This window comes from Homo sapiens, chromosome 2, assembly GCF_000001405.40.
Source record: "Homo sapiens chromosome 2, GRCh38.p14 Primary Assembly".
NCBI classification, from domain to species: Eukaryota; Metazoa; Chordata; class Mammalia; order Primates; family Hominidae; genus Homo; species Homo sapiens.
In genome coordinates, this window is record NC_000002.12 from 211724388 (window position 1) to 211736794 (window position 12407).

Genomic DNA, 12407 nt, shown 5'->3' on the forward strand with positions numbered 1-12407 from the left:
GTTTGCTGGATATTTGAGAGAAAAAAATTTCTGTGTTCATTTTCAACTATATAAACATTTGTGTATTTTTACGATTTTTAGCTTTAAAATTAAGCTGGTGTTCTCGGTATATGAAATTGAGTTAAATACAACTCAAAATTGCTGACATGTATGCCAAAGACAAAGAGTACTGTGTCAGGAATATGATATCAAAATATAATTAAAAACTGTCCCTAACAAACTATTTATAAATCTTAAACTTTTAAAATAATATTACCTTTAAAATATAAACTAGAAAATACTGAAACTCATAAGTATATCTTCTATAATCTTGAAATTTATATTCAAGAAATAAAATGCAATTGCTCCCACTTGCAGAACTCAGTGATGCAACCACATAAACAGGTAATCACCGCATTACTGGAAAGGATGTTATTAGATTATAAAAAGATATCTCAATATGTTCTCCAATGAACCTCATTTGTAACATAAATTATATCAGAAATATACAATTCATTTAATAGAACAATTCTAGTTAATCAGTAGACAACCTAGTGAGGGAATGACTTTGAGGAGGGCAGAGCATTTTTCTTAATCCTAAAGTGGCTAAAGTTGATCTGATTGTAATAAGACAAAGATTCAGTATGCCTGAATCAAATAGGGAAGGAAAGGAGAGCAGGATAATAAAAGAGAGAAATCACAGACATACAAAGCAGTCTGTGTCCTTAGGTCCTGAGCAGCCTCCAGCACATTCTCGATGGCAGCAGTCACTGACGTAAGGTCCGTAGCATCTGCCGTCACATTGTTCTGCACACACCGTCCTTGTCACTGCAGAAGACAGAGATAGGACCATGATCAAAGTCTGCCACCAGGAGAAACTCATAAGCTGAGTTCTGGAGTGACAATTTCTCACCCTGTCTTTGACTCAATTCAGCAAACATTTAATGAATGAGGTTTACAACTAGATCAAAATTTTTATACAAAAATCTCCAAAATTAATTTATAATTATTTCATTTTTATATTCTTTCTTGTTTCAGCAAATAATTACAATGCCTTATGACGATCATACAACTTAACAAGAAAGAATCCAATTTGAAGTCAGGCACAGTGGAGTGTGCCCGTAATCCCAACTACTTGGAGACTGAGACAGGAGGATTGCTTGAGGCCAGTAGTTCAAAGATGCAGTGGGCTACGACTGCACTTGTGAATAGTCACTGCACTCCAGCTTGGGCAGCATAGTGGGACTCTGTCTCTAAAATTAAAAACAAAGGAAAATTGAGATAACTAAATGAGACATTTGGCAGGCTAGGAAAGGTGAAGTCAATTCACACAATGTGCATAGTAAGGTCCTAGTAGAAGGTGTCCCCAGAAATGGGTCTAAGACTTTTAGTAGTCAATGCAGAAAAGGGACACATAAATGTTAAGTTAATTCACATAATATTTTACACGAGGAAAGAAAGGAAGGAAGGAAGGAAGGGGAGGGAAAGGAGGAAGGAAAGAAAAAAGGAAGGAAAGAAAGCCATTAATAGTAAACACAACAAAAATCATCATTGGTCTTTTCTTATAACATGCTTCAATCCAAGCTGACAGCATCATATCGAGGTATACTTTAGTAAAAGCAATACGAAAGGCTATCCATCAACATTATAGCAATAAGAGACACAATTCTGCTTATCTCACTTATTCCAAAAATATTTTTAGGGTATTTAAGGTATGAATTTTACAGGATATGTATAGTATATCACTTCCTGGTTTCTGTATTTCCACTTCAGCCTTGTTTCTTCCTATATTTTCAAACAGATCTTCTAAGCTTTCTTTGTTCCTACCTTATCAAGACTCTGCCTCATAAACATTAGCATTCCCCAGACCTGTTCTTGACAATTTTGGGGGGACTATGGGCTCATTCCTGGATAAAAGTCATTCATCTTCTACTTAGCATACTGTCTACCAGTAAATGACTTTCAGATCTAGAATTGAGTTCTCTGTGGAGCTACAGCATGCATTTCTAGCTGTCTACAGAAGTCCCCATTTTGATATGCAAGGTGTACAAAACAGAACATAACTCTTCTTCCCACACCCACTACTGAGTGTATTTCTTTTCTAAGTTCCCTTATCTCAATTAATGGAAGCACCATATATCCAGTAGCTTGCTAGTAATTTGCAATGTATTTTCTGTCTCCTATCCTCTTATCATCACTTCTCCTACCTAATAAAATTGCCAAGTATTAGCAATAGTTTTCTAAATATTCCTCAGTACTTTCCCTCCTCTCTATTCTAACTTTATTCAAAAGCCTATCTCTAAATGATTACATAGTGTTCTAAAAGTTTTCTCAGATCCCATCTTTTCCTTCCAGTTAATCCTCCACAATGCCCTAAAAGTAATGGCTTGAACCTGTAAGCCAACGCCTATAAATCAGTGTTGATTCACAGTATGAAACTTATGACCATCCCCGTACTAAAGGATTAAACCTTAAGCAAGGGACAAAAGCCCTCCATAAGTTGACCACCATCTCTGCCCTTCCAGGAATCACATTACTCTGTTTCTCACGTCCAGCCAGATAGAAACACTACTTGCAATTAAGTTGTGATTCTCATTGCTTCTTCACAAGGCATTTCTCCATGTTAAAAATCCTTCCTAGCTTCTCAGCCTAGGAAATACTTGCTCTGAAACCTTTCCAGACACAGCTCCAAGCTGAGTTATTTTCTCACTATTGCTTCTGAACAAGCAAGAAGATAAAGTTAATGCAGCAGTCTATGTAGTCTGAAGATCTAGGCTCAAATCCAAAATATATCCACGTTATATGGGCAAGTTATTTAACCATTCTGTATTTTACTTCACCATTTTTAAGATGGAGTTAGTACCCACCTAATAGGATTGAAGATAAATATACAGGTATAAAGTGCTTTACATGGTCCCTATTAACAGTGCTCATCAACTTAGATATTTCTATGGCACTTATACATTTGTATTTTTTTCAAGTTTGCTTCTACCTCACCCCAACTAACCTATGGGTTTATTGAAGTTTATTGTCTTACTTAAGTTTTAATTTTCAGTGATAAACACAGGGTTTGGTACTTAATACACAATATAAGGCAGTATTCCCTTCAAGTAAATAGGTAAATCATATATTGCCAACTCAATGGCAGTATCTCCTCAGGGCTTAATATATTTATCAGAGAGATAAAAAGGTGTATAGAGTTAAAGAGATAGGTCACTAAGAAATATAAAGAGACAAATATTAAAATACTAGGATTTAAATGCTCCTTAAATTCTGCTGTTGATTAGTTCATGATTTCATATTTTTAATTGGATCCTTTTCCATTGAACATGATGATGATATTCATAAAATAATGCACAATATTGAAAGATAAAGAATATTCTTCCATTTGACATGATTAATTAATTATTCTCTATGTAGTACAACCAATACAAACATCAAATAAAGTTTAAACTAAAATGGCACTTGGACTCACCCTCTGTCATGTTTTTTATTTTGTAAAAATAAGGTTACATGCTATTTTTTACCATAAGCTTATAGAAGATTTGGAAAATAATCAAATTTTTATATCTGGGTTTGTGAACGTATATTTTGTATTTGCAATTTTGGTTACATTAAACTTCAAAATAAATTATTTCTTCTATTAGTATCCTGGTACAAAATTCTGCATAATAAATCCCCTTGGACTGTCCCTTCACTTTCTTTAAGTCTTTGACCAAATCACACCTTTGTATTGAAGTCTGCCCCTGTTTAATACTGAATTTTTCCCAATCAACTGACTCCTTATGAACCTTCATCTTCTTTTTTCTCTCTCTTTCTTTCATCTCCCTTCCTTCCTTCCTGTATTTTGTTACAGCATCAATTACCATCTAACATATTATTATTTATTCCATTTATTTTGTTTCTAGGTGTATTACTATGTTTGTAACTGTAACTGGCACTTACATAGTTTTATTTATATTTGATACACACATTATATATATATATATGATATGTACCCAAACAATTTGTATCCTTTCATTAACTCTTCATGTCATACATTATGCTTATATTGATATTTCTATCTTTTAACCAAGTGGTATATTTGTTTAGATGCCCTAATTAGTAATTCATACAATATAAATGACATTTTTTAAAGGAAACACTTTTAACAGACAGTTTTGTACAGAATAAATTCAAACACAATTCTTCTCTTCCAAATTCAATAAAGTGCTTCGATGCATCAACAGTCGCTAATTAAAATAGCAGACATATGTTAAATAAATAAATAACTAGATTTGAAATGTGTTATCACAGGAGAGTTTATCAATTTGCTTCTATTTGACAGCTATTGCTCAGCTGGAAAACAATAGCATGGAGTCAACAATCTTATAAGTCACATCATATTTTAATCATAGACAGATATGTCTAAGTGTTACTTTTTATTTTTAACTCCATGGTGATTTAAAGTAACTAGACAAAATGTTTCAGTTTCTCTGTATTTACTTTGGTTTTTCCTGCCAAATGAGAAAATTAATGTAGAAAATAATTACAATGATAAGACAAGTAACCCTGAATGTAGTTTAAAATTATGTATTAAGTGTTCACGTTAAAATCATTTCTCTCATTGAGTACACTATTTAAATATGAAAATAATATTATACAAATATAATCCAATGTAGTACAATCTTAGATTCAATAGCAATTATTATACTGTGGAACTATTAAAATATTTTAAATTATTTAATCATTTGTGTGGAAGAAAACTTAAAATTTTTGAAAATAGCAACTTTTCCACATAGTATTCAAATATTTAATATTTTTTCAGGACACACTGATTTCTGATATTATATTCCCTTTTAGAAACATGCAGAAAAATTCCTCTAAATTATTATCCAAATGCAGATGCATTCCACAATTTTTATTTAACATGTTAAAAGGGAGTTATGGCTTTCATTTTCCAAAATCAGTCTATAATTGATTTTTTTCAAAGTAAATTACATTCAACTTTAAATATAGGGCTTTTCACCATCAACATTTTTATATCCCTTAATTCCAAACGAAAATTCAGTAAGCATGAAGCATTTGGACACATAAAAGGTAGGCAAAAAGAACAAAACAACAAGCTTAACTGCTAAACAGTAATGGGGTTAAAAAAAATATTTCTTTATATTATTATATGAGACTTGTAACAAGAAAGAAAACATTCCCTTTGTACAATTCAAGGCTACATGCAAGACAAGTGGAAAGGCACCATAGAGTAAATTTATTTAGTAGCATTTTTTGATTAATAAGCATTATTTAATGTGAATAAACTCATCAAATTATACTCATATTTTATTACAATGGGGACACAAAACAAAAAATAATTCCTGAAATCAATGAGATAAGTCAGCCTCTATAGGAACATTAACTTATAATTGCTTTGGTTTTTATTAATTCCATCCTTGCTCAAATATTTCATTACATTTTTTTCCTTGTATTTAGTTTCCTTTCTAAATTGCTTCACTGGGTGCATTAAAATATTTGGGTCCAATTTTCACTAGCTTTTTCATTGGCGGTATGCACTAAATGTGATTAATATAAAATTTAAAACTGGGACGTTAAACTTCTTATATTCGGGTCAGTAAACTTGACATGGGGAATGTGAATTCATTCAAAATATCCATGAGAATTAGACGGGTAACATTTAAGGAATCAAACAATTCATGGTAAGCCAATACTACTGAGAGAATGTCTATCAAGTCAAAAAATATTAAAAAATCATTAAGTAGCTTAATCTTATCAGTATCTCACTAATAAGAACTATGGCTTAATTACTTCTTTCAATATAATGATAACCAATACTGTGATTAAAGTTACTCCCTTAGGACAAATTTATTTTACTTGAAGAAGCTTGGCAATTTACTAATTAAATATTTATTGTTGCTTCCTAGCAACAATAGCAAAAAAGACAAAGAATATTCATAAATAATGCAAAACAGAGCACTGACATCACAGTGACAAGACAAAAGATCTCTGTTCGCCCGTTAACAATAGAAATAAGGATAAATTTAGGCAAAGTCTTTGTGTCTTTTTACACTCTGACACTTCCTCCTCCTCCCCCATCTCCTTCCTCTTTCCCTATCTCCTCTGTCTTCTCTCCTTCAGTGCCTTTTGATTATCTTCATTTCCTCTAACCAGTGGTTCTGAACTGGGTTGTATATTAGATCAACTAACAGTCTTTCAAACTTGAATACTGGAATTCTTCTGTAAGTAAAACTTTTCATTCAGTTGGTATCAGTGGGGCCCAAGACTTTTTAATAAGCCCATTTCTATTAAGCTCCCAGGTAATGTCTCTACCTACTCATCTACATACCCCATATTGAGTAGCAGAATATAGAGTAGTTTCAAAAAATACAATACCTGAGAATCACCTAGTTTCTATTAAATCAAAATCGCTGGCAATTTTCTAGAAGCTTTGGTAGTTTTAATAAGCTCCCTGGGATTCCAATATTCAGTCTAGAGTTGAGAACCTTTATTCTAACCAATGGGAGAAATGGGAGAAAAAAATTTTAAGTCATTTACACCATCTGATTGACTGACTGATTATTCCTTGTCTGAAACTTAATCACAGTGACTTCTTGCTTTAATTTCCTATTTGTGTTGTAAAGGTCCCTATCACTAATTGGAAAATCAAACAAACAAAAATTGATGTGCAAGTAGATATAGGAAAATTTGGGAGGGAAATTACCTATATTTTCGATGGAAATATTGCCTCACTGGTTCTGAAGGCAAACATTATGGATAAATGAAATACCAGTAGAAAACTTCCCTTCTCTCACCCAGCAGCTGTCTGAGTGAAAAGTATCTTGGGGCAATCCCCAATTGCACTGCTAAGCACATTTTAAAGCATATTTATTTTATTTTTTAAAATTTTATTTCAGTTTTTATTCAAAGACTCATACCTCTATGCTGCCTCTATTCTATTTTTGTGTCAAAATTTTGACAAATTATGATCATAAAACATATGTTCAATAACTAGATAGTATTTGAATGGAATGTTTTTATTACACTGTTTCCAGTTACATACTTGGAGGTTTGAACTAGAAGGGAGAAATACTTGGGTTAAAGTAGAGGTGATATGGGTTGGATGTGAGGAAGAATTACTGACTATTAGAGGGATAAAAACACTGTAATGGGCTTCTTAAGTGTTTATTTGTCAGTATTTTAAAAGAAATCTCTTCTACATGCTTTAGACATCCACTTAATTAAAGATAGGAGGCTTGATGAAATGTTCTCTAGAGGTACCCTCTAGCTCTAAGATTCAAAATTTATTCCTATTAATGATGAAATTGTGACTAAAAAACTGAACACTTTGGGTTGTGTAACATGTTTTAAGAAAGCTATCATCAACAGGATACACTTAAAGTGAAACAAATAAAGCTCACAGACCATCCAAGAAGAGGCGTTACTTACAGAGCATGTGTAAAAAATCAGGTTCAATGAAACTAATGCCAAACTATACACTGTTATTCATTCTTCCAAAGGAGAATAATTGAACACATTTGTGTGTCCAGGGCCAGGTAGAAACTAAAAGCCAAGTAGAAAGACTTAAAATAAAGATGTCTGGCCCATCTCCTATATTCTGACTCAGTAAGTCTGGGGAAGGTGTCAGAAAATTCATTTTTTTTTTTTATTTGGAGCCTTAAGATTTTTAGAAGTAGATTTTATAAGCCAATATTTCCAAACTTCTGCTCTAAGGCACTCTCTTATTTCTAATGAAAGGTTCCCATAGATGGAAAGGCAGAGTCAGAGCTGGGTTGGTCTTAAACTAGAACGCTCTTTCCTATCTCATATTAAATTGCAGAAGAAATAAGTCAAAAATTGTTGCCTCACAGAGGAAGGCTTCATCATAAGCCTATATCCTAATTTTTACAGGAAAATAATTTTGCACTTTAAGGATTTTTCAATTCTTTTAACCAGCCACAGTGTATTATCTAACATATTTAAAAAGGCTCTCAGAGGTCTTTTTTGAAAAAAAAAATTAGACCTAGCAAAATGGAATTATCAAAAAGTATCTGGGCTTCTAAATGACCACAATCATACACATTTTCACAATACAAAATAAAATACGACTAATTTTCTTTTATTCCTAATTCCTAATTGGTTTGGTGATAGCTACTCTAAATAAACCGACCAGGCCATATCATGAAGTATATACCCCACATGTAAAATAACTGTTTAATCCAAAATGCAATAACCTCTGTCATTCCCCTGGAAAACATAGCAAATAGCTGTACAGTCGCTACTGAAATTGACATTCAGAGTCAGTTAATAAAAGTAGGGCCAGGCCGGACATGGTGGCTCACGCCTGTAATCCCAGCACTTTGGAAGGCTGAGGCAGGCAAATCACGAGGTCACGAGTGACCAGCCTGACCAACATGCTGAAACCCCATCTCTACTAAAAAAGAAACCCCGTCTCTACTAAAAAGTACAAAAATTAGCCAGGCATGGTGGCGCGCACCTGTAATCCCAGCTACTCAGGAGGCTGAGGCAGGAGAATCACTTAAACCCGGGAGGCGGAGGTTGCAGTGAGCCAAGATCATGCCATTGCACTCCAGCCTGCGTGACTGAGTGAGACTCCGTCTCAAAAAACAAAAAACAAACACAAAAAAAGAGTAGGCCCATATTTTGGCAGCTACTAATCAGGTTTGACCTGATGAATCCCTGGTGACCCACGGACTATGACATGATAATATTGTTAGTTGTGTCAAAGAGGTAAGGGATTCTGTCTAATCCATTCCTTATCACCACCTGCTTTATTCATTTATTTAATGAAGTTTTATTCAACCTATTTAATAAAGACATGATCAATGATTCATTGAGGGACCTTAAAGCTGATTATAAACTACACACTTGGTCACCAGGGAAATTCTCCCTTCTTAATAGGCTATTAGCATCTCCACAGTTTGTGAGTGAAGATTCAAAAAATAATATTGCCTTGTTACGTTAACTATAAAAATATTCTTGAGAGTGAGTAAGAGTTATTTTGCATATTCCTCACAGGCCTGTAGATATTGATTTCAAGGCAATAAAGGAAGAGTATGAATCTGCGTAAGAATACCATAGTATTTTTAAGAATATTTTTAAAAATTAGAATTGAGGTCTGCACCTTAAAATCTGCCTATAAATGATAGGCTGCAGATAAAGTAGTAAAAAAAAGTCATAATTATATCATAGATCTTTCATAAACCAAGAAATATGGAAAATTTGGTATTCAAATTTTTTAAATCACTGTGCATTATAACAGACATCTCCACATCTAACCTGATAGAAAAACAAACAAAAACCAAAAAAAAAAAATTTACTTTCTTTCTTTTGCTTATTCTAGTTCCCTATCCAAAATATTAGTAGAAGAAAACAAATATAATCTCTCTCTCACTCAATTTTGCAATAAAAATACCCACAGAAGGGCCAGGAGTGGTGGCTCACACCTATACACCTAGCATTTGGGAGGCAGAGGCAGGCGGATCACTTGAGGCCAGGAGTTCAAGACCAGCCTGGCCAACATGAAGAAACCCTGTCTCTACTAAAAATACAAAAATTAGCCAGGCAGAGGAAGGAGAATCATTTGAACCCGGGAGACTGAGGTTGCAGCGAGCTGAGATCATGCCACTGTCCTCCAGCCTGGGCCATGCAGCAGAAAATATTTAAAAAATTTTGAAAAAATAATAAATATTTAAAAATTTTGTCTCAAAAATATTTTTAAAAATTGAAAATACAGAATGTTAAAATTAAAAAAAGAACATCATATTAGGTAAACAATGGACAAATATCTGTTGAAACAATAAATACCATCAAGTCCAAATTTCTCATTTTATTGATGAGAAAATTAAAACTGAAATAAACTTACTTGTTTATGAGCAAATCTAAAGTAATGTTCAGACATCTCTAAGACAGATCACCACTTCTTCAGAGCATTCCAGGAAGTTTCTAGTTTTGATGAGGGTGAAGAATTGGGCAAACTATTAGTGGGTGTATAAATTGATACATGATTTTTTGAAGACTAATTTGTCTCTATCAAATTTGTGTATGTAAATTCACATGTGACCAAGCAGTTCTATTTCTAGAAATCTGACTTACAGAAGAATGTGCATCTGTGGACAAATATGTATAGAAAAATGTTCATTAGTTGTAACTGAGAATAATACAATGTAACCTAAATGTCCACTAATGAGGAATTGGTTAAGTAAATTATAGCACAACCATAACTAGGGAAATAGCTGTAGCATTAAAAAAAAAAAAAAAAAAAGCTGGGCGCGGTGGCTCACGGCTGTAATCCCAGCACTTTGGAAGGCCAAGGCGGGCGGATCATGAGGTCAGGAGATCGAGACCATCCTGGCTAACATGGTGAAACCCCATCTCTACTGAAAATACAAAAAAATTAGCCAGGCGTGGTGGCGGGCGCCTGTAGTACCAGCTACTCGGGAGGCTGAGGCAGGAGAATGGTATGAACTTGGGAGGCAGAGCCCCTGCAGTGCAGCCACTGCAATCCAGCCTGGGCGACAAGCGAGACTCTGTCAAAAAAAAAAAAAAAAAAAAAAGACGGATTGTTCTCTATGTCCTGAAATGAAAGGATTTTAAAAATATAATGTGAAGTGAAACAAAAGTGATAGACGAATAGACATGGCATACATATTTTTGTAAAACACACAGAACAAAATCCCACAACTTTTATGTGCTTATGTGTATATGTAAATATAAATACACACACATATACCAAATATTACCATAAAGTAATCACTTTATAAAAAAATGTAGGTTGAGGGAAGCATATTTACTGATGGGAAGGCATTATTATTTTTAACTTTATGACCTGAGTATCACATGAATTTAAAAAAAAAACTATACTAAAATAACCTGTGCATTTGGCAGAGCAAGTTAATTATCCCAGTGTTACAGATGAAGAAGTTAACATTTAAAAACTAGCTTATCCTAGGTCAAATCATAAGTTATTATCAAAGTGGAGTTTAAAATTAGTTTTCTGACTCCTATATATCTTCATTTACATGTTTTCATCAAGTTAAGAGTCACAAATAGAAGGTGCCTAAATGTAAAAATCAAAAGGACTAAAAGGGGAGAGGAAGATAGTTTTGGAAACTGTTTTAAATACAACGCCAAATAGCTAAAGTGATCAAACACGTGTCTGCATTACGTCTCTGAAAAACAGCTTGGCTGATGCTATTTTAACTACCATGATTGTGAGTGATGATAATGAAAACTAAGATATTACTCAAATACTCTTTAAATCTCAGACCCAGAGAGGGCCAACAATGAAAACTAAGATATTACTCAAATACTCTTTAAATCTCAGACCCAGAGAGGGCCAACACTGAAGTCTATACCTCAGAAAAAGAGACCTTTTGAGGAAACCATTTAAAAGAGTTATACCACAAGCACATTTTGAGTATATACAGAAGAATATGTTTTGCTTTTCTCCTCATAGAACACGTTTGGGATTATCTTCTTAAAAAAGATAATCAGGCCAAGCAGAGTGGCTCACGTCTGTAATCCCAGCACTTTGGGAGGCTGAGGCAGGAGGATCTCTTGAGCCCAGGCATTCGAGACTAGCCTAGGCAACATAATGAGACCTTGTCTCTACCAAAAAGAAAAAAGGAAAAACAAAATAGCCAGGCATGGTGGTGTGCACCTGTAGTCCTAGCTGCTTGGGAGGCTGAGGCAGGAGGATCACTTGAGCCCTGGAGTTCAAGGCTAGAGTAAGCTATGATTGTGCCTCTGTGCTCCAGCCTGGGCAACACAGCAAGACTCTGTCTCAAAAAAAGGAAAAAAAAAAAAAGATAATCATGTCCTCCTACAAGTCACATAATGCACCTTTGTAGTGTTTTTCAAACTTTTGATTTTTAAAAAATAACAATTTACAGTACAAATAACATTGTATTATGGCTCAGTACACATATCCTTGATGAAATGTTTTGAGGAATAATGCTGAGCCTAATCAGTGCAAGAGCATTTTGATACTGCCTTTTCTGGTCAATTTTATTCCAATGTATCTTATTTCAATAAAAATGTATTGTTGGGCAGGGTGTACTGAAGTGATTTTATAATCTACTAACAAGTTGCAACCAGCAATCTGAAAGCATTGTCTTATTGCATGAACAAAGGTCAAATTAAGAAATTAGAGAAACCGATCTCTGTGCTCTTCTTATATATGTACAGCAAATTAGCCTTCTAATGAATTCAGGAATTTAGAGCCACTGGTGATAAAATTTCCCTTTTCTGAAGTTTTAGGATTCTAGAGGATATGGAAAATCACTGCACAATACAGCCTGCCATAATGCCTTATCTTCAGAATTGTGCCATTGAGACTGACCATTCTCAGAGGTTTGTGCTTTTTATTCCCACCATAATTACTGGAAATTTGGGATCGTTCAGTCTGAATTTCTCCT

The 12407-nt window shown here is 34.0% G+C and overlaps 1 protein-coding gene across 11 annotated transcripts in view; it reads right to left on the reverse strand.

Annotated features, from left to right (window-relative positions):
* The window catches only part of ERBB4 (erb-b2 receptor tyrosine kinase 4), a 1163086-nt gene that overhangs the window by 348671 nt on the left and 802008 nt on the right, over nt 1-12407 (reverse strand). For 10 of the 11 annotated variants that reach the window (NM_001042599.2, NM_005235.3, NM_001439006.1 and 7 more), the window contains one exon: nt 689-807. In NM_001042599.2, the coding sequence (NP_001036064.1) occupies nt 689-807 (119 nt within the window). Of the gene's footprint in view, nt 1-688; nt 808-9853; nt 10233-12407 lie in introns of those variants that run through there. The other variant, XM_017003582.2, reaches the window with a different exon arrangement.